The 23668-nt window shown below is 35.4% G+C and overlaps 1 protein-coding gene across 4 annotated transcripts in view; it reads right to left on the bottom strand.

Moving 5' to 3' along the window:
• DNAJC13 (DnaJ heat shock protein family (Hsp40) member C13) overlaps positions 1-23668 on the bottom strand; it is a 121531-nt gene that overhangs the window by 26856 nt on the left and 71007 nt on the right. For all 4 annotated transcript variants that reach the window (NM_001329126.2, NM_015268.4, XM_047447819.1 and 1 more), the window contains 14 exons: positions 23156-23201; positions 21126-21280; positions 19562-19763; positions 17918-18033; positions 17011-17089; positions 15514-15649; positions 12867-13051; positions 12369-12443; positions 11264-11383; positions 9709-9888; positions 8796-8963; positions 6762-6875; positions 4824-4940; positions 933-1110 (listed from right to left, as the gene is read on the bottom strand). In NM_001329126.2, the coding sequence (NP_001316055.1) occupies positions 933-1110; positions 4824-4940; positions 6762-6875; positions 8796-8963; positions 9709-9888; positions 11264-11383; positions 12369-12443; positions 12867-13051; positions 15514-15649; positions 17011-17089; positions 17918-18033; positions 19562-19763; positions 21126-21280; positions 23156-23201 (1871 nt within the window). The remainder of the gene's footprint in view (positions 1-932; positions 1111-4823; positions 4941-6761; positions 6876-8795; positions 8964-9708; positions 9889-11263; positions 11384-12368; positions 12444-12866; positions 13052-15513; positions 15650-17010; positions 17090-17917; positions 18034-19561; positions 19764-21125; positions 21281-23155; positions 23202-23668) is intronic.

The raw sequence follows: 23668 nt of genomic DNA, 5'->3' as shown, positions 1-23668 counted from the left end.
TACAAGTTCCAAATCAATAGTCTGCTCTGCTACAATTTCTTTGTACCTAACATACCACTAGTAATATTCGACACTTTGACAACTCCAAATAAAAGACAAGTTTTCTTCAGATTTTATAACACTGTCTTTAATAACATCCCAATGTACATCTTGTAAATGCGTAATTTTCCCAATATTTAATTACTGTTATTTTATTTAAATAACTTTTTGGCAATAACCCAAAAGTCAGAATTTTAACAGTACTTTAATACATACTAAGAAGAGTAAAAATGTACTTGAAAGGTAATGTTCAATGTTATTTTAAAAGATCGAGTAATTTAAATTGAATTTGTATCATTTTAGGTTTATGTTCTATATTTATTATCTAAGTTAGAGTTGAGAGAAGCTGTTACATTTTCACTCATCCATCTCCCTGGAGTCAGGCTAGAGTAATGTTTTTGGAAATGTCCTCTTAAAGATGATTAAGAGTAGGAACTCTCATATCTTTATTTCAATTTTTATACACCAAAAACTTCAGGCAATTTTTGAAAAACATCAGTGCCCATATGCACATGGCACTGGTTAGGGACCAGAAAGGAGGCAAAAATTAGATCACTTATTATTAAATAAATCTAATTCAAGCACTTATACTTGATATGTTAACTTAAGACATCAATGTGAAATTTTATACTATCAAACTATTCTGCCTTTTCAACTCATTTAGACACATGTTCTCATAAAGACATGAATTTTTCTAAACATAGTGCCTTGACCTCTCTCCCCAGCTTAACTTTTATTGTAAAACTATTACAGGGTCAATTCCCTGTAATGTTATATTAATACATTATAACCAAGTATAATTTTCCCTGAGTTTCCCTGATAAAATTGATTATTGGAATTTTTAGGGCTCCTGTATTATACGAGTCTTATTGATCAAAGGTGTAGTCACATACCTGGATTGTATTTTATGACATTTCTCAGAGCCTCCAAAGCCATTTCTACTCTCGGTAAGCGATCTCCATGTTGCTCTGACTCCACTTTTGCCGCGTGTGTGATGGCCATGAATGTGTGCAAGTATTGGGCCTGCGAGCCTATATAATCCAAGAGACTTGCAGCAAATGCTTTTGGAACCTAATCAATGCAGACAAGTATTTAAACAACATGGGTGCCCTAAGAAATAACTCCATAGCAAAAGAAAGAACTTTAAGCTATGAAAGTGAATAAAACATGATTAAATTATACATACACATGAATACACCTATGCACTATAGGGGGGATGTAGAGGGCAGGAAACATTATAAAGTATTTCTCAACTTCCAGAGATCTGATATACTCCCATTAGTATCTTAGTGTAACAATTCTGAGATTAGAATACCTCCTCCCTTTATCAATCGAAGTAACAGATAGTATGATACAGAACTTCTAAAATTTGGTTATATTTTTATAATTAAGTTATATAAAATTTAGAAATTCAAAGGACAATTTTCAAAGGGACGTCACAAGTCACTTAACTCATTCTGCTTAATAGCTATTTACATATATATTACTCTGTGATACGTGATATACATTATGGCATAGTACATTTTTCCTCTAAGAGTAAACTCTAAAACAAAGCCTCACTTCTTTCCTTTTTACAAACAAATCAACCACCAAATCCTCTTTGCCACCTCCTACAAGCCAGGGGCAGTGGCTTGAACCTGTAATCCCAGTTACTTGGGAGGCTGAGACAGGAGGACTGCTTGAGGCCAGGAGTTTGAGACCAGCCTGGGCAAGACAGTGAGACCCGTCTTTAAATAGAAAAAACAAAAAATGAAAGCAAAAACTCCCTATATGATCCCCAAGCACTCAGAAGAAGCTCCTCAGCTGCTTCTGGAAGTGATGAGGAATCATCACAAAAGATGATCTGATGTGACTCCAGTCATCTTCTAAAAAAATCTTTATTTTCAACCTATATTTTCTCCTAATATTGGCCAGAGGAAGCCTTGTGTCTGGTGGTCTGATATCCCTTGTGATGAAATGAGCATGTAACTGGCCTTGTACGTCCATGAAGGACTAGTGAGTTAAAGGCATATAAACATGGCCCAGTGGGATAGCAGTAGGCACAAAATATAAGAAAAAGCTGGGCAAGGAACAACTTCTTATGAATAAACTTCACAAAATTCAATTCTTCAACAATCAAGATAAAGAGGCTCACAAGCTGTCAGTGGTCACCCCATCACAAGCATTTGGTATTATTTCGGTGTAAAGGCACACCTCAGAGATAGTGTGGGTTCAGTTCTGGATCACCAAAATAAAGCTAATTTTTTGGTTTCCCAGTGCATATAAAAGTTATTTTTACATTATACTGTGGTCTATTAAGTGTACAATAGTATCATGTCTAAAAAAAACTACGTGCATACCTTAACTGAAAAATGCTAACAATCATCTGAGCCTTCAGCAAGTCAATCTTTTTGCTGGTGGGAATGTCACCTTGATGTTGACAGCTGCTGACTAATCAGGGTGGTGGTTGCTGAAGGTTGGGGTGGCTTCCCAAAGTAAAACAAAGAAGTCTGCTCTATCAGCTGACTCTTCCTTTCATGAAAGATTTCTTTGTAGCATGTGATCTGTTTGACAACATTTTATCCACAGGAGAATTTCTTTCAAAATTGAAGTCAATCTTCCCAAACCCTGCTGCTGCTTTATCAACTCAGTTTATGTAATATACTAAATCTTTTGTCATTTTAACAATGTTCACAGCATCTTCACAAGATTTCATCTCAAGAACCACTTTCTTTGCTTATCCACAAGAAGCAACCCCTTTTTCTCTTCAAGTTTTATAATGAGATTGCAGCAATTGAGTCACATATTCAGGATCTACTTCTAATTCTAGCTCTCTTGCTAGTTCCAGCTCATCTGCAGTGACTTCCTCCACTGGAATCTTGAACTTCTCAAAGTCATCCATGAGAGCTGGAAACAATTTCTTCCAAGCTCCTGTTAATACTGATATTTTTACCTCCTCCCATGAATCACAAATGCTCTTACGCATCTAGAAAGGTGAATCCTTTCCAGAAGGTTTTCAATTTGCTTTGCCCACATCCATTAGAGGAATCACTATCTATGGCAGCTACAGCTGTTTGAAATGTATGTTTTAAATAACAAGATGTAAAAGTTGAAATTACTCCTTGATCCATGGGCTGCAAAATGGATGCTGTATTAGCAGGCATGAAAACATTAATCTCCTTGTACATCTCCATCGGAGCTCTTGGGTGACCAGGTGCATTGCCAACGAGCAGTAGTATTTTGAAAGCTCTTTTTTTCCTGAGCAGTAGGTCTCCACAGTGGGCTTAAAATATTTGGTAAAACATGCCATAAACAGACGTGTTGTCATATAGGCTTTGTTCTTCCATTTATAGAGCACAGGCAGATTTAGCATAATTTTTTAAAAATAATTTCAACTTTTGTTTTAGATTCGGGGGTACATGTACAGGCTTGTTACCTGGAATACTGAAGTTTGGGGTATGACTGTCACCCAGGTACTGAGTACAGTACCCAATAGTTTTTCAACCTTGACCACCCCCGTCTTCCCTCTAGTAGTCTCCAGTGTCTATTATAGCCACTTTTATGTCCATAAGTACCCACTGTTTAGCCTCTACCTATAAGTGAGAACAGATTTATCATTCTCAAAGTTCCTAGGATTTTCAGAAGGGTAAATGAGCACTGGCTTCAACTTAAAAGTCAGCAGCTGCATAAGCCTCTACCAAGACAGTCAACTTGTCCTTCGAAGCTTTGAAGCCAGACATTGCTCCTCTCTAGCTAAATCCTAGATGGCAAGCTCTCCCAATAGAAGGCATTAGAAACTTGTTTAGTGTAGTGACCTTCAATTATCTTAGCTAAGTTTCTGGGTAATTTGCTGCAGCTTCTCCATCAGCACTTGCTGCTTCACCTTGCACTTTTAGGTTATGGAGACAGTTTTTTTCCTTAAACCTCATGAGCCAATCCCCCCTAGCTTCAAACTTTTCTTCTGCAGCTTCCTTACCCTCTATCTCAGCCTTCACAGAATTGAAGAGAGTTACAGCCTTGCTCTCAATTAGCCTTTGTCTTATGGGAATGTTGTGGCTGGTCTGATCTTCTATCCAAATCATTAAAACTTTCCATATATCAGCAATAAGGCTGTTTCAATTTCTTGTCATTCATGTATTCATTGGAGGAGCACTTTTAATTTCCTTCAAGAACTTTTCCTTTGCACTCACAACTTGGCTGTGTGGCACAAGAGGCATAGCTTTCGGCCTATTTAACCTTCTGACAAGCCTTCCTCATCAAGGTTAATCATTTCTAGCTTTTAATTTAAAGTGAGAGACCTGTGACTCTTCCTTTCGCTTGAACACCTAGAGGCCGTTGCAGGGTTATTAACTGGCCTAATTCCAATATTGTTGACTCAGGGAATAGGGAGGCCAGAGGAGAGGGAGACCAAGGAATGACTGGTTGGTGGAACAATCAGAACACATACATTTATTGATGAAGTTCACTATTGATGAACTTCACGATCTTATGTAAACAATTAGCAAGAGCAACATCACTGATCACAGATCACCATAATGTGATAATGAAAAAGTGTGAAATATTGAGAGAATTACCAAAATGTGACACAGAGACATGAAGTGAACACATGCTATTGGAAAAATGGTGCCAATAGGCTTGCTTGGCACAGGGTTGCCAAAAACCTTTGATTTGTTAAAAAAAAAAAAGCAGCACAGTAAAGAAAGTGCAATAAAATGAAGTGTGCCTCTATAAAGTGTGAATAAACTAGTAACTTTCAGTAACAAATGATCAAAGGTATCAGGTAAAATTAAAAGCAGAGAGCTTACCTCCAGTTGGAAAGTAGGAACTTCATTATACACCCTAACAAAAATCTCCCCTACAATAAGTTCTTTGGCATGATCACTGTAGACAAATTCTGATCCATAAGTTTTGTCACAATCACCCTTTTTAAAAGATGAAAAAATAGACTGTTAGATGTAAATCTATCCATGTTCAGTTTAATAACTTAACAGATAAATAACTTGAGAGATCTATGCATATTCTAGAGAAAAAATGTGGTGTGATACATGTCACAGCACTTAAAAAGACTTTGGAATAGGCATACAATTACATTATAATTTTTTATCCCAAATATTACTATTATTAACTCATTTTAAAATTTCAAAGGATCAGAGGTCAGCTAACAAAGGTCTTAGAGCCAGAGTTTATAAAGCAAGTATGACGCTTTATTCTTCTCAATCAACTCAGCAGACATCAGACCTAGTAAGACGTAGGATGACAGAGCTGAGAAATGAGCATATTTGGACTGGGTTTTAAAAAGTAATACACTAGGCCGGGCACGGTGGCTCATGCCTGTAATCCCAGCACTTAGGGAGGCCGAGGCGGGTGGATCATGAGGTCAAGAGATCGAGACCATCTTGGCCAACATGGTGAAACCCTGTTTCTACTAAAAATACAAAAAGTGGCTGGGCGTGGTGATACATGCCTGTAGTCCCAGCTACTTGGGAGGCTGAGGCAGGAGAATCACTTGAACCTGGGAGGCAGAGGCTGCAGTGGGCCGAGATCATGCCACTGCATTCCAGCCTGGCAACAGAGTGAGACTCAATCTCAAAAAAAAAAAAAAAAAAAAAAAAAAAAAGTAATACACTGAACAAAAGTGCTAAAAAATAGAGGAGGAATGGGAGAAAAACAGTCCCATGAAGATTAAGACTGAAACCAAAACGAATTTAGATTGGACTAAAATAACATGTAAAAGTATAGAATAAATTATAAAATGCTAAACAAAGAGATGTTATTATGTCTATTCTGGTAAAAGATAATGTACAGAAGGCCGGGCGCGGTGACTCAGGCCTGTAATCCCAGAACTGTGGGAGGCTGAGGCGGGCGGATCACCTGAGGTCAGGAGTTCGAGACCAGCCTGACCAACATGGAGAAACCCCATCTCTACTAAAAATACAAAATTAGCCAGGCATGGTGGTGCATGCCTGTAATCCCAGCTACTCGAGAAGCTGAGGCAGGAGAATCACTTGAACCCAGGAGGTGGAGGTTGCGACGAGCCGAGATCATGCCATTGCACTCCAGCCTGAGCCAACAAGAGCAAAATTCCATCTCAAAAAAAAAAAAAAAAAAAAAAAGATAATGTACAGACATGTAAGACCCGTTCTCCCTAGCTCTGCAATTCTCAAAAATTTTATCTATAAAGAGTTCTAGATGACTAACATGGAATGAGCTCAAAAACGCTAAATAACTGAGATGTTACAGTAATAGTTACTCTAATTTCCAAAGCCACACACATAATTATCTTCAAAATCATCAAGACTCAACCATCTAGTGTATGGATTATCCAGGTCTTCTCCTTATTGCCCATCCTACTGCCTTTTGTTTTTTTTTCACGGCTCAGTAATAGCTTCTCCACTAAAAGGTGGCAGGGTAGAAAAAATGTTCAGTCTTGATACTGGAAAGCACCTTTCACTTACTAGCGAAAAGAGGCTGAAGTGAACAACTAAAATAAGGTTTCTGGGTTCAAAAACTGGTTAAAATAGAAGACAGCTGTATATAAGTGGTAACAACAATAAAAATTCCTAATGTATTACTACATACAACACAATGCTCTTCTTAAATGGGCCAAATATTAGGTGGCAGAAAGCCATACTGACTGACACTAAAGTGAGAAGTAGTGGATTTCTGTTCTAATCAATACTGCTGTACTTCCAGAGATTCCATCAGAATAAATTACCCAAGAAATTTATAAAACAATAACATACTTTTTTAATCATGTTTTCTTGTTGGGATTCAAGAAATTCAAGTAATTCTGCTCTTGTAGAATTGTTCCATATCAAATATGGACTTTCTGTGTTGCTGTTAAGCATCTTCAAAATCTAGGAGACAATATTACCGTTTTATAACATTTAGTGAAAAAACTTATTGACATTATCACTTATTAAAAATGTCTATTATAGGCCAAACACTATAATAGTTGCCTATAGTATAATGGACCTCAATAATAAGTATCTCAATAATTCTAACAAGTTTATTGATATAATCCATTTTACAGCTGAGAAAAACTAAGACTGCAAATCATTAAATTATTTGTCCCAGATCTTACAACTGGTAACTGGTGAAACTAGGATTTGAAATTGAGTCTGACTTCAACATTCTCAAAATCTGCTGTGCCATGGTGAAATTCAATATTTTGAAAGTACTTAATAAACACACTGTGACTATAAGCTTGAAAAGAATCACAACATAATACCTTTATGTACATGTATTTGAAAACAAAACCTAAGTCTTTAAGAAGCATACCTGTATGAAGGAAAATAAAATTTATGGGGAGAAAGTCAGATTTTCCTGACCACACCCTGATATTGAAGGCTGTGTAGTCCTTCTGCAGGCATAGATTATGACTGCTTAGGCATCTGGTGTGCTTTCCTATTGTTGAGCTCTCCTCAATTTTAAATGTAAACACAGATATTTCACAATTCCTTAAATGTCTGAATAAAAATCTTTTATTTTTACAGAGGTCTACTGCTAATAGGAAAACAGAGGACTATGACCTCCATCTTATACAAAGACATGCAAGCCTTGTTTTCAAAAGGCTAACTTCTAGTTAAGCATTTTATTGAATCCAGTTGGAGCTCATGCCAACATTTAATTTTGAAATGCTATAAAAAATTTTTAGTGGGGGTGGCTATAAAGGTTAATCCCAAACTTGTTGGCATTTCTGAAGAGAATGCTTTCAGTCAGCAAAATGTATCACATTGGTGAGCAAAAAGTCCAGGAAAATAACTAACATCAGGAGTGGTCCCTGGTCGTCTAGTGTTTTAGGAAAAATAGTAAAAACAAAAACAAAATTAAAAAAAAAAAAAAAAACCAGTAGCATCTAGAGCTCCTGCCTTTCACACATGGGAACTGAAAAGCATGGCAAGCACTGAAAATTGGACTCAATCACATTGGATTAAAAACAAATAACCTGTTTAAAAGTTGTAAAAATACTTTGGAAACCTGAGGATTTTTTCACTTACAAAAGTCACAGTTCATCCTTAGCGAAAACAAAAGAAAAACTGCCTATAATTATGCCATTCAGGAATAATTACAGTTAACATATGGGTACAAATCTATCAATCCATTTATTTTGTTATACCAAAAATAGGATCTAGTGTCTTCATTTATTTTAATGTCTTTTAGTACTCTTTTTTTTTTTATAATTAAAGGATAATAGTAACCTGTTTAACTGATTTCTATAGTTTATCAAATTCTTTAGTGCTACATTCTCAGATTATTTCTCAATAATCCTTGCAAAAGAAGTTAAAGAGGTTGGGAGATCTATCATGTCATACTGATTTTTGTAATGCATCTATGTATGTACATAGATACATATACATGTATATGTGCATGTATGTATTTACTTTCAGGATTTTAACCCTGTGTCTGAATAAGCTATGGCTTACAATAAATAGCTTGAAATAGACTCTGGGTCTCCTGTCTCCCAGTAGTCTGCCATTGTGAAACACCATTCCAACTTCACTCTCTCGTCCTGTCCCTTTGTGACTCAAGGTTGGTAAGAATTATGATAGGCTCCACAGCTGAGAAACAAAGTTAATTTGCCCTTGCAAAAACTGGACTTGTAGAACTGACATCATTAGCATCAATCCATTATAAAGTGAATTTCTTGCTTGAGAGAACAAACATGTGAACGTTCTTAATTTTTAGGTTCCCTAGATCAATATTATTGTACTACTTTACTGCTTAAAGGATCTTGCACTATTGATTAAAACCCAGGCTACCTGTGAAGCACATACCTCAGTCACACTAGCCACAGCAAGTTTTCTAGCAACATAGGGTGTCAGCATGCCAGCTAAGCTTTTCCTTATGGTTGGATTTTCTGGAGTTGCTTGTTCTTCAGCCAAATACCCTCCAAGGCGACTCAGAGCATGGACACTCAGTTTGGCAAGGCTGTTTGCTACCTCCTGTTATAAAAAAAATTAAGTTGTTAAAGTAGATCTGTTATCTTACATAGGTAATACTATAATTTTACAGAATCACACTATATGGAACATATTTAAGGAGTAAAAAGTCAACCAACAAAAGGGTACAAGAGTACCTACCACTGAGGTAAACATCAGAAAGTTTATGTGTTGGGGCTTGTTTTTTATTTATAAGAAGGACCAGGAGAATCTATGTACTAACTTATACCCAATGCAGTATATCTCACAGACAACTGGAAGAAGCACATTTGGTGGTAATGTGGGGAGTAGGGGATAGGTAGGCAGCCCTGCCTGCTAGAAGCACACATTTACAATATGAGCAATAAATGAGAGCACATAGAAGAGACAGAAAAATATCTATAAAAATCAGACAAGTACTCAAGTGTTTAGGGGAGCTAGCCTCAACTGCCTGATGGTAACATTATATTGTCCTGTGTTACACAACCATAATTTTGCCATCATAAAGTTGACTCTGAGTAATTAAGAAATTATTAAATTATGTCCAGTATATGCTATTGCAAATTCCCTTGCCTGGAATCCTTTAAGCATAAGCAATTACAACTAAAAGTTTTGTAAGTAAGTGATTAGGTTTAAAAAGCAAAAAACCTAATTTTCCTGAAAAACAATTTATCTCTGGGGACTCTGGATAGCAGCTTTGGTTTGGATTAGTTTAACACCAACCTAAGGTTTGGGTTCAAATTCAATATTAAAGCAATGTTAAAGTTACCTGCTGGTTTGTTTCTTCACTTTTCTGAATGCCACTCTCTTCTAGTGTGTAGTCATAATTAAACAGAAAACCAAGGAGATACCACAAAATTCCAGCCTGAAATAGGTGTGTCTGTAGCCAGAAATCCACAGCAAAAGAACTGACACATTCTACCCCAAGAGCAGCTACGCGGGGAATACTCTGAGAGAATAAAAATGAGAGCATTAGTTGTTACAGAGTTAAAAAAAAAAAAAAAAGCTCCCAAGAGGAACTGGTTGTGCATGTATGTCAAGCCAACCACGTTATTTTGTAAAATGTTTACCTCTTCTTACATTTTCAATTCCAATTTAAATCTGAATCCTACATCCTTTAAAGCCTAAAATTAAAAGTGACCTCATGACGAGATACCAGAATTACTACCTTTAAGGCTAATGTCAGAAGACTTGGGAATAGTTTCCTGTTTCACTTCTTGTATTTTTAATTTTTAAAAATAGTGACATGGCATCAATAGCAACTTACACGCTAGTGATCTTAAATGTAACGACATATTTTGTGCAGTTGTTAAAAGATTTATTTATGTCAGTTTTTTATTCTGTAATCAAATACTTCTAAGGACATTAAGTAGATATAGTAGAGGAGATATTTTCATCAATTCCCTCACTTCTTGATACTTTAGTACTAGATCAGCATCTCGATCCTGTTTTATTCAAGACAATTCTCACTCTGCCCAGTTATTTAAGACATTTCTCTCTCCCTCCCAGTCATCTATCTCATCTACCCACAGTCAACCTTCCTCAGCAGGTCTGGATTGGGAGGAAATAGTAAGTTCTCAGATCTCTAAAGCCTTTCCCACCAAGCAGTGCCGAACTCTCTAGTTTTCAGGTTTTACATGGCCCTGTTTTTTTTTCTTTTTTTTTTTTGAGACAGAGTCTCACTCTCTTGCCCAGTCTGGAGTGTAGTGGCACAGGCTACCTCTGAAGCATATATCTCAGTCACACTAGCCACAGAAACATAGGGTGTCAGCATGCCAGCTAAACTTTTCCTTATGGTTGAATTTTCTGGAGTTGCTTGTTCTTCAGCCAAATACTCAGCCTCCCGAATACCTAGGATTACAGGCGCATGCCATCATACCCAGCTAATTTTTGTATTTTTTTGTAGACAGGGTTCTGCAGTGTTGGCCAGGCTGGTCTTGAACTCCTGACCTCAAGTGATCTGCCAACCTCGGCTTGCCAAAGTGCTAGGATTACAGACGTGAGCCACCACACCGGGCTGGCCTTTTGCTTTTAAAAGACTTATTTATTACAGGCTTCTCTTTTCTCCCTGCCACTCATTCTAATGTTCAGATGGAACCCACTTCCCTTTAGATGTATCACTTTAGTCTTTTTCTTTGTAGGCCAGCCTAGAAGCAAAGCCTCCATTTACAGCAAGGCTTCTGTGAAAAATGCTTTTAGAAATCCAAATAATTTTACTTACAAATAACTTTGGGAAAACAATGTGCTTATACATTAGGAACTGGCTAGTTGACAAAAAGACACTTTGCTGTCTGTATCTAGAAAGCATTAAAGATTAACCCTACCTTGCCAAAATATAGTACCCGACAGAGATCCTTGATGATGCTAGGCATTTCCGTGATCTTCTCTCGGCATTCCTCAAACTGAGCAGCCACACTGTAGCATTTACTTATGTATCCACACACCTGCAGACAACACAACAGAGCAAAAAAACCAGTAGAGTCACATAGGCATTCCTTATTTAACACATAGAAATCAAACCAGCAGAAATTTGTGAATAATGCTTAATGGTATATACAATGTTCCAAAATTAAACAGAATGTCTTTACTAGATCACTAGTCTTTCTCATTAAGATTTCCTATAAATGCTGGGGTAGTTGGCAAACCACAGCTACTACAACCCATGGGCCAAACTGACCATGGTCTTTGTACTGCCAAAGAGCTAAGAATGGTTTTTAGATTTTTAAAGGGCTGTAAAAAAGTCACAAAAGAAAATGTAACAGAGACTGTATGAAGCCTGAAAGACTCATATATTTACTCCCTGGACCTTTATTTTAGAAGTTTGCTGGCCTCTGGATTAAGGTAATTTTGTATAGTTTATTAACATAGCAGAATATCACAATTCTGTTTACACAACGGACTTCAAAATAGAGGATGGAACTCAACAGCCAGTACTCGTTTTATATTCTGAATTTTGCTGGCATAAGCAAAAGGTCAAATAGAAAGACACGCTCTACAAAGCTCTTAATGAACTCCTGATGAATTTCCTATCTTACAACCTTAAATGTTAAGCCAATTAAAATACTAGAGATAGGAGAGTGAGGGATGGAAGATATGTGAAACAAGAATGGCATTAAGCTGGGTAATGGAAACATATGGGTTCAATAAACTATTCTCTAAGAAAGAAAACGTAAGCCAACAGATCACAAGTGCTTTAGTACAGTTTCTTACAGTGTGATACACAGACCAGCAGCATCAATGACACTTGGAAACTTGTTATAAAAACATACTCTCAGGCCACCACCCCAGACTCACTGAATCAGAAACTTGGGGTGGGGTGGAGCTCAGCAACCTACAGTTTAATGAGCCCTCCAGTTGATTCTCAGATATGTTAAAGTCTGAACCATTGAACTAGTGCAATTTTCTTGGAACCACAGGTTTTAGCCTCACCTGTACTGACATGTCACTTGGTTTACTAGCACGAGTCAAGACAGCCACACAGCGACTAAATGCCTCTTGTAACACCTGCAGAGGAAGAAGTCAGCTATTAACTCTCCATTTTGACTTCAAGTCTGAAAGGCCTTTTCTAGCAGTAATAAAATATAAATAACCCTTTAATGTTAAATATTTGATACATAAATGTTTGATCAACATTTGTTAATAAATAGTAAACAAAGGACTCCTAAAAGTTTCCTTTTAAGCATTTCTAATAAGCTACTTTGTAAACAATATTACCATTATCGGTTTTGAACCCAATACTTTCCAACTCACATTGTGAAATAAAGCTCCATTTCTACCTTTAATTTGGTATAAGAATATGGAAAATATTGTGTTATCTGCTGAAATAAATTAAAGAATCTGCATTTGTACTTGCTGAATTCTTCACTGCCAAGAGTCATATAATGTGTGTAAACTGGCTTAAAAAGCACAAAGGTCACTCCGTATTACCTCTAGTCCATTCTCTCTTCTGAGCTCTTCAGCATTGAGGGCTGAACAGTTGACAGTATGGAAAGCTAGCTCTGTAGCCGCAGGCAACAATGGTGATTCTTTTGAGAAAAGGAGGTCATCTGAAGTTTCCATTGTTATAGTCCGAATAAGCATGGGGTATCCTGCATATTTATAAGGCTGTAAATCTGAAATAACCAATGGTTAGTGTTAGAAAAACAAAACAAAATTGATTATGTTGTGGTTTCAATTTTGATACCATGTTCAAGAATATGTTGCCTTAAAAAAATAAAAATGGGGCCAGGCATGGTGGCTCATGCCTGTAATCCCAGCACTTTGGGAGGCCAAGGTGGGTGGATCACGAGGTCAGGAGATTGAGACCATCCTGGCTAACACAGTGAAACCCTTTCTCTACTAAAAACACAAAAAAGTTAGCCGGGTGTGGTGGCAGGCACCTGTAGTCCCAGCTACTCGGGAGGCTGAGGCAGGAGAAAGGTGTGAACCCGGGAGGTGGAGCTTGCAGTGAGTGGAGATGGCACCACTGCACTCCAGCCTGGGCGACAGGGCAAGCCTCCGTCTCAAAAAAAATAAAAATAAAATAAAATAAAACGTAAAAAAAAAGATAAAATATTTTATCTTAACATCTTAAATGCCTCCTAATGCCAGTTGATAAAAAAAGAAATTAAACCTACTATAAAATCCCTTGGATCCTTCCTTTCTAGTAAACTTGGTTGATTTTTCTAAAATGTTTCCACTAGAAAAATAACATTTTCTGGTAAATTAACTGCACTTGGTGTATAGTTTTGATCCTTTGCAGAATACCTACTTTCTATGCTGATCTTTGTAACTTTTCACCTCATCACAGAACGCAAGGTACAGCAAATGCACCAGAAATTCTATTAATATCAATTATATGCACATCTTTATAAAGAAAAAAGACTGAGAAGACATTTACATGACACTGAATATTTTATATTAAGTTTTCTGGATAACAAGTGCCCTTGTTTATCTATTTTACCAGTATCTATTTTACCAGTTATCTTAAAGATAACTGGTATCTATTTTACCAGTTATCTTAAAGTTTTACCAGTATTTTCTTAAATTTGAAAATAATACAATTTCTTACTAGAAGTACAAAACAGAAAGTTAACTTTTAAACTACATTTAGTTAATTCCATGTTTTAATAACCAAATTTAAAAGTGAAAGCTAGTAAACCTACATGCCTAATTACTCTGTTCTTTCCATCTTCTTTTTTCAATCTAACCTATTAGGCAAAGAGATGCAAATTAATTGGCTGTGACTTTAAAAGTATCTCTATAATTCCAATTGAAATCAGCATAAATCTTTTTGACTTTTGAGGCTGACCAATAATCTGCCTTAAAACTCATTTCTAAACTGGCTTTTAAAAAAAAGGCCCCCTGGAACAGGTCCTAATTTTCCTTTAAAAAAAAAAAAAGTGACACATACGTAATAAGAAAGAACAGTGAATAACTAAGTCCTGTCAGATCAGGACCTCCACCTCAGAGCTTCTTGGGTATAAACCCCTCTTGGGAAAAGTTAAAGATGACCTTGATAACAGAGAAACCAGGATGGGCCATAACTGTATCTTGTGGCTAATAATTTAGTTATCAGCATTAAAAGACAACCAAGGGTTTTGAAAAAGGTTTCCAAACTCATTCTGATTAGTAAAAGCCATATATCTAAAATGTATTATAAACGTATTCTGTTAAACTCATGTAAAAGTAAATCAACTAATCACTGCTCTCTTTAATAATCCAACTGCTAGATCCTCAGGTTGTCCCCTCCAATACTTAAACTGCAACACCATCTCTTGTCTTTAGTTACCCAACACTCTCCATGCTTATCTCAAATCCTGAAAGTCCTCTTCCTTCTCTCCCAACATACCATAGCAAATGGCTCTCCCACTTTGTGCTGTAAGTCAAGTTCAGTTCCCAAGCCATTGGGCATCTGCCATATTGAACCTAACCCCTCATCCCCAACAAAGGGGGATGTTTTGAACATACTCCTGGCTTTCTGACTGCTACTGTTAGGGCTACTGCAAATGGCCCCACAAACACTGGATAATCCTGTAATCTGAAATTACACCTATTTCATCTATACCAGTGTTCTTCAAACTGTCCCACAGGACTAGAGGGTCCTGAGAGCTACAATAGGAAATAGAACGTATGAGAAGTATATCATCATTTGAAAAGTTTCTACTGCTTTTAAAAAATCTGAATGCTCTTGGTGTTTTTAACCTTCAGAGGCTTTTAAAGTTATGATAGGCTTTCATATGCCATTTAAGAAAACATGAAATGATCTTTAAATTCCAGATTCCATTCTGTCTCATTTAACACGTTGCTACTAAATGGCTAAACACAAAAACTAACCAAGTAACTCCACAGAGCGAAGATGTCAGAAATGCAAAATACTGAAAAACATAGTTATGAAGGGAAAGATATAAAACAAATATTTGGGCCCTTCTTTAGAAAACTACATTTTCCTTTATTTAAAACATAATTCCAAGAATCTTTTAAACAATAATTCTAAATCTATTAAATATGCTGTAGAAACAGGTAATATGGTATAGGGTTAGCTGTGATAAGGTTAGCTGGAGGATAAATTAAAATCTGAGAACAGACATCTTACCTTCTTTATGACGGTTGAAGAGGATGCTCTGTGTTTTTAGAATTAAAATTATATTCTCTGGATCTGGCCCATCCACTATTTTTGCTGATTTGGTACATAAAAATTCATATGCTTTATTTACTTTTTCAAACATGTCCTGTATGTAACAGAAGATAATTTAACGTTAATTTGGAATGTCGCAAAATTCAACTTAAACAAGACATATGGTTTGCATTTTATCAGTAACTTTAGCTATTATTTTATTGTTTATATTAAGGTATTCATTCCAACTGTAATCTAGCTGGTATACTGTTAAGGTGAAATTTTTTTTTCAAATAGTTGTCTAATGATCTCAATACCATTTACTGAAAATTCTTCAAATAAGAATATTAAATGTATCCTTAAATACATCATGTTAAACTCATACATACTAGAGAGAGTTTGCGTCTATATAACAAAAATTATGAGCTACTGTTTATTAAGCACTGTGCTAAATGCCATAATCTCACTTAATCCTCAAACAGCCATGTAAAGTGTGTACCATTATCATCCTCATTTTTTACATGAGGATGCTGCAACTTAGAGATAGTAACCTGGTTAAGGACACAAAATCAACTGGTGGCAGAGCTAAGAGGTACTCCTAACTCCATGCTCTTAAACTGTTACACTGTATGTTCAGTTATCTATATGTAGATTCTTGTGTCAGTATCATATTGTTTTACTATTGTAGCTTTATGAAGTGTTTTAATATCTGATAAGTCTAGCAATTTAAAAGATTTCAAAATTTCTTCCATTCTTATTTTTTCTCCTAGATGAATTTGAATTAGTATCAGGTTCTCAAAAAAACCCCTAGGGTTTTTATTAAAAATACCTTAAACATATGAAAGTCAGATCTTTTCAATGTCATGTCTTCTCATTCAGGAATACTGTCTCTGTTCTGTTTCCAGTGAAAACAGAAATCAGTGGAAATTATTCCAAGTTTCTAGCAATAGACTATCAGTCCTGGTTTAGGTGGTTCTTACGTGATTTCATCGTTTATGAAACATCATTGGATGAGGTGGCATCAGGGAATGATGATTTAAAATCTGAACTAAATTTTCTGTTTCTTCAGTTACAGTGATATGAAATTGGATGTCATTGGAAAAAATTACATAAATTGCCCAAAGCAATCTGAATAGCAATGGTATCACCTAAAACCTACAAATGAATTAAGCTCCCCTGAATTCCTTATTTTCAATTATTCTTATGATTGCCCATTAGAGTTAATTCTCAAACAGACATGGATAAGGAGACACAATAAAACCTGTAAGTTGCTAGTCATAAAGGCCACTCGTCTGGTAAACTGAGGGAGCATCATCCATGCAGAAACTATGGGCATGTGGCCAGAAGTTTATTAAACATACACTGAGTATATATTATGAGGCAGATACTGGCACAGAAGGTAATATACTTTTCTCCAACTACATAATAATAGAGCAAGAGGAAGCCCAATGCCTGAATTCCAACAGCAGTACATACCCTCCCTTCTGGATTCTTATCAGGGTGGTACTTTTGTGCAAGTCTGAAGTAAGCTTTCCTAATCTTGCTCTCATCATGCCTGTTAAACAGGAAAATTGTTTTATGAGTATAGTAAGGCACAAGAAAAAATAATTTACAAAACCATCTAAAATGATATTTTAAGAATCTAATATCAAGAATTGTATATGATTATATATTAGGCTTCAAATTAAACCCAGAAAGAATTAAGATTTTTTTTTTTTAACATGTTACTTTTATGGGTGAAAGATAAAACCTAAAAGTTCCCTACCCATTCACTTCAAATTATAAAATTATATTTGAGTTGGAAGAACTACAAAATATATTTTTAAAAATCCACTAACTTGTCAAAATGTCCAAAATGACAATTTCAAATTCTATAATTCTAAGTTATTATATCAGTCTTGCCAAAATATACAGTTTTAGTCTATACTTAAGTTTTCAAACCATTTTTCCATAACATAGTCTACTATAAAACTTCACTGATAAACAAGATAAATCTGCATTCTTTCATAATCTGTCATTTGGTGTCCTAGGCATATTGCTATCAAATCTCTTCCACATGCATAATACAAATTACAAAAGGAAGAGGAAAAATGAACATGTGAATGGCTACCATGTGTCAGATATGGTGCCAGATACTCTGCATACATTTTTCCAATTAATAGAGAAATGAATGTACCAGCAAGAAGAGGAGGATACAATTTGGCTAATAAGTTTGCAATAAATGAAAGTCACACAGATATAGTTCCATATGGTTATTCCCAAGGTGTATATATCAAAGTATAGGCAAAAGATTTTAAAATGATTGATTTAAATATAACTTAGTCTTTGATACTGGTACTTTAAGGTGGGACAGACATTTGCTATTGTACTGAAAACAACTCACGGTCCCTGTCCTTGAGGCAGATTAAGCACTTCATAAGCATCATCTATTGACATCATAGGTGGCTTCTTTTCTACTTCTTTCTTCCAGGCATCAAGGGTATCTTTTAGAAGCTTAACCTTAAAGACAAAAGATTAAAATTTATATCAAAGTAAAACTATTTCAGAGTATAATTTTTAAGTTATAGAATTATTGTGCTGTATTTATTTAAATGGATACTTTTAGCTGTCCAATTAACAGCTTTCTGAAATACAAATAACCAAAATCACCTGAGCACTGCTGTATAGTTGGGCAGAGCAAGGTATTTGTTACAAGGCAATATTCCTCTATTTAAAAAATTTTTTAAATCCTCTGCCAATCTGTGTTATGTATTAGGCTTCAAATTAAACCCAGGAAGAATTAAGATTTATTTTTTTTTACATGTTATCTTTACGGGTGAAAGATAAAACCTAAAAGTTTTAATTTTTAAAGTGTCCAGAAACCATGAAAAACGTCAAAATTAGATGATACACTGTAGTAAGAAAGCAAGCAGTATATTGTGGTGTGCTTCTCAAGGTGATCTAACATAATTATGGGTATGCTAGCATTCAAACAAATGTAACGGATAGAACACAAGGGAATCTGGTTAGCAAATGGGAAAAAAAAAGCTCTAATATTTATTGCCTGCCTATGTGCCAAGGAGCTAGGTACTTTACAGACTATCAAATTTAATTCTTGTCTAAAATTTGATCAATAAATAAAAACACTGAGATTCTAAGAGCTAGCTGCATGTTTCCCAGTTTAGTGGTAGAGCTGGATTAAAACCTAGGTCTGACTAAAAAGCCTGTATCTAGTATCTCATGTTGAATCCTGAATAAGTACCAGAGTCTACCTGCCTTTTTTTGGTCACTGCATTGTAAAGAGGCAGTGACTTGCAGTATAAATGGCAATTATTCTGAAATCTTTTAGATGGTAATAATGGTATAAGTTCCACCACAGTAACAGAACAACATGGGCACAGGTGCCCACAGATACACAAAGACTCAGGTTAGGGGGGTCCCAAGGGCACTCTGGACAGGCCAACAGTGTATATACTGTTTTACAATGAGCAGGTCGCACTCATTGCCTCTTACGCGTGCCAGGAATTATGCTTATGTGAATTCTTAATAATCTTCATAAACACCACCAGATAGCTGCTATTATTACCAATATTTTAGAGATGAGAACTGAAGTTTAGACAAATCAAGCAATGTACTGAATATTAAAGAGTTATTAAATATTAATGGCCCAGCTGAAACTCAATCCCAGACTGGCTAACTCCAACATCTGTGAGCTTAATCAACCTGCTATAAAGACAAGCTTCCACCAAGGTATTATAGTATATAATACTATATATATATAATTATGTTATCTGCATGAAATTTGTTTTGTCTTTGCCACAAAAGATCAAGATTGCAATACTCTTAATACTCCCTTAAAAAATTATCTTTCAGTGTGAGATCTACCCAAATATAATAAACTATACTCAGAGTCACACAGTGCTTAGTGCTTAAGAAGGAATACTTAAGAAAGCTATTAACCATCTTACTGCAGGAGGACAAAATACCCAGAAGTGTTTAGAGGCTATTTTTATGGCTTAAGGTGGCACAAATTAAACTGCTGACTTACCGGGTCTTTAATTGGCCAATCTGGAAACCGGAGTGTATCACACAGTTGTTTGAGGTAATAAATATTACAAAATAGTTCATTTTCGAGTTGTGGATAGTTGATTATAGGAATGGGGCAATACTGATAAAGTGCTCTTGTGTTACTCTGAAGACGAGGTGTGAAATCCGCGAGATGGGCAGCAATCTTCTCTATCATCAGGCGCCTACAATCATAAAAACCTCCATTCAAGCTTTATGAGGTATTATTTTAAAGAGAAGGTTGAGATACATAATCATGTAAGATAGTTACATGAATCATCTATAGAATAACTCAATGATTATCCTAAAATGAGAGCTTTTAAATATGGTACTTTGGGCATTTTATTGTACAAACATGGAAAAAACTTATCTATGATACTCATCTGTAAAGAAGATCATAGAGAAAAGGGCTGATAATCCCAGTCCTTCCTATTAAAAAATCAGCCATTAGAAGGGCAAATGGTATAGCATCTGAATGCATGAGGGTGTAGCTAGGAAACTGAAACTGGCTATTATCCAAAGAAGCTCGCTAGATGGTATTTATTTCAATTAACTTACTGTAGTCTAGGATCTGGCCTCAGCTAAGCAGAAACTTATCAGCACATAGAGCAATTCGTCTTTTAGATGGGGCCTTATATTTGCCAATCTCAGGAGAAAAATATTACACAGAAGAACTGTGTTGCTAATTTATTAATATTCTTATATATTTTTTCCCAATGAAAAATATGACTGCCATACAGAATATATTCAAATTGCTGGCTAACACATGCCAAGCCCATAGGTCAAGAAGTCAAATGATAACAAGCAGGTGGCATGGAGTGTGTGCAGTCTGACGAGGGTCAGTAATTGACATAGAAGATCTAATGCTATCTAGCTAAGGGAATTGAGGGGTTCTCCAAAAAGAGATAGCCTTGACACTGGAAATATGAAGTATCAAGTCTTTTCTGAACAGAAACTGGCTGGGCACTGTTATCTGCTTCTGAGCCTTTCCTTTTTCTGTGTTTCCACAGGTTTCTCCTATGGCATTCCCCCCCAACAAAGACATACCTTAGGAATGCTAACCTCCAGATTAAGGACAAAAGGTGTTGGTAAGGGAGCCCACATTCTAGAATAATTTCGGGTATCTCTGTTCTGATTCATCGATCCAAATTATGTGGGCATAGCTTTTAATTAGTGGGAGTATAGTCCTACTTCCAGATACCCAGAGGTATGTCTTGATTTTACCCCAATTCCCTATATATATATTATCAGTTCATTACCTAAAACCTTACGAGTTCTATAAACTGATTTAAGAAGTACCAGCAGTTGGTAGGCCCTACCATTATATAAAGCTCTATTAAGGTAATAGCAATTTTGTCAAATCTTATTAGAATAGAGAAAACCTTAAGGCCTTATCAAAATCCATCATTTGATTTGGCATCAATGATTACTGTCATTTTAGATTATAAACCTAGTGAAAACATTTCTTTTAACAGAAGTCAAAGCAGATGGCGAGCAGCAAAGACTTAATTATAAAATACAAATCAATCAGTCAACTGGTTATTTACCTCATTTCACTGCTCCAGATTGCTTCTGGAGTATCAAATTCTCCTAGAAAAATCTCAGAAAACTTTTCAGGTTCATAATTTTCTAAGTAACAAACCATTGCTTCAGGTAGAATGTGCCCAAGTATACTTCTCTGAAAAATATCTTGTCCTTTTGTCTTCAAAACAAAACAAAACAAAAGGTAGTCAAAAACACTAAAGTTAACTTTCAATTTTCTAATAAATGATTTATGGTTAGAGAACACTTTAAGAAAAGAACACAATTGGAACAAATTGCTTTTATGCTTTGGGAATGTAGATGGAAACACAGCAAAATGTGAACTGGAAGGTATCTGGTACAAACTGGCTTGGCATGAGCTCTAAGGCAGAACCAACAGCCTCTGGCCCTGCAGCAGTCTTAGCTTTAAGTGTCACAAGCTGCCAATATTATTTAGGACGACTGGCCTTTGACCATGTGTAACAGTAATGGATAACAGAAGGAATATCCCAAGAAGATTTACATCAATTATCCTGCATTATATTGTTGGCTGTAGGTCCCACCTGTACTTGCTTCTGTTTTCAAAAATAAGTTCAGAAGATCATTAAGAGCCTGTCCTCATGAAATGTAGCTAGGATTTAGATGGAGAATTTCTACTTAAAGTAATTATAATTAACTGCTTTGCGAAGTCCATATCCTCTGGCAGGCCAAATGGAGTTAGGATAATGATCATACTAAATTTTAAACTCATTTCTTTACTCAATGGAAATAAAATCCCAAGGGCTAGCTAGGATTTATACAAATAAATGCTTTTCTTATTTCCTTCTAGGCAAATTTAAAGACATTTTACTTCTCTAGGATAAAACAAAGAGACGAGGGAAAAAACCCAAACATTGTTTTATCATGTGGTGCAAAGACAAATTAGAAGATGAATATTTTCAGGCTTTCTGCTAATAAGAGTAACAAATTCACTATCTGTTAAACTTTTGGGTAAAGAATTGCTAGTTGTATTCTTCAATACTATTATTTGGTAATTCATACATCCAGACTTGTGCTATAAACACTGTTTTGCTATAATTATTCAAAATACTGTTAGCTGAAATGATACAAATCATTTCTAATAAATTTGGAAAAAATTACAATATGCATAATGGCACAGAAATAAAGGAAGAAAAAGAATGCCCAAATGTCTAATACTACATGAAGGTACTATCATTAGAGACTTTTTTAACTTGTTTATATTCTCATTTTCTATTTGTAAAAAGCTGTGGAAATTATGCTGCCATGGGCATCTTTAATATTAGACAAATGGGTTACTTTCTAGGGCTTCATTGGCTGCTCTATAAAACATATAATTTAGTGTCTATTGTCAAGGTGGTGCAACATTCCTTGGTTAGTCTTCTCAACAGTGGTCTGGTTTTGGTTTCTTATTCTGCTTGATATGATCCAAAAAAAAATCCATGCTCCATGAAAAGCTGAACATATTTCAAAACACCCTTCAGTTTCATTTTAACAATAAATATCTCTTTGTAAAATGTAGGCATTAAGTTTAGATTGTCAAAACTACCTAAATAAGTTTTTTTTTTTTTAATTCCCAGCTTAACCCCACAGTAAAATGAAAGCATATGAAACATGGAGCAGCTTCAAAAAAGAAACCTAGCACTTCTGCCACTTTGGGATCTGAACAAAAAGGCTGAAGTCTTCCTGAATCTTAGCTGACGATGTAAGACTCAGGTACATAATGAATTATTTACAAAAATCACTAATCTAAACTTTATACAAAGAGAACAACTTATATTCATGGAGGTGTCAGGCTATAGTTCATAGCTGCAATTTCAATATTAAGTCTAATGAGTCAGCAACATTTATTTTCCTTTAAAAATATTAGCTTAGACTTTATATGTGCAAGGTACCACAAACAATGTAAGAACAGAATAAAACAATACCTACCCTCAAGTACTTATAATCTAGTAAACATAATACACAGCTCAGGAAACTTTATAGTGCCAAAACAGCTTACCCAGGGTTAAGTATTCAGAGGATTAACCTGGCTTACCTCTTCTGACTTGAAAGCCTGTTTGGTATGTGTGTATTTCAAAAATCTAGAAAGAAAAATGAATTATCTATCAGATATAGAAACCGATTTAGTTTTTGTAACCTTAGTTTTCTAAAGACTAGATCTTTTATAGCTAAATAAAACTCACAAATGGCAACTCACATAAATCCATATTCCCAAATTATTTAATTTCTGAATAAGGCAAGAACTTAAATGAACTAGAAAGATTTTTAAAGTGTAGTCATATTAAAGCTATGTGACAATATAAAAAAATTATTAAACTTTAAGAAAGCAAAATGTGAAACTGCATGTACAATATGAATATAGTTATATTAAATACATACTTAAATACTAGATAATACATTCTTATGCTAGATGTGGAATAGTGGTACAATTCTGAGTAATTTTCCCCCATTCTTCTGCTTTCCAACTCTTTAGACATGTACTTAAATAGCCTTTACAATTATAATTTTAATAAAAGCAATAAGGTACTCACAAATAATTCAATTAAAT

This window comes from Homo sapiens, chromosome 3, assembly GCF_000001405.40.
Source record: "Homo sapiens chromosome 3, GRCh38.p14 Primary Assembly".
NCBI lineage: Eukaryota > Metazoa > Chordata > Mammalia > Primates > Hominidae > Homo > Homo sapiens.
Note: the sequence above shows the minus strand (reverse complement) of the source record. Positions and strands in the feature narration are given on the sequence as shown.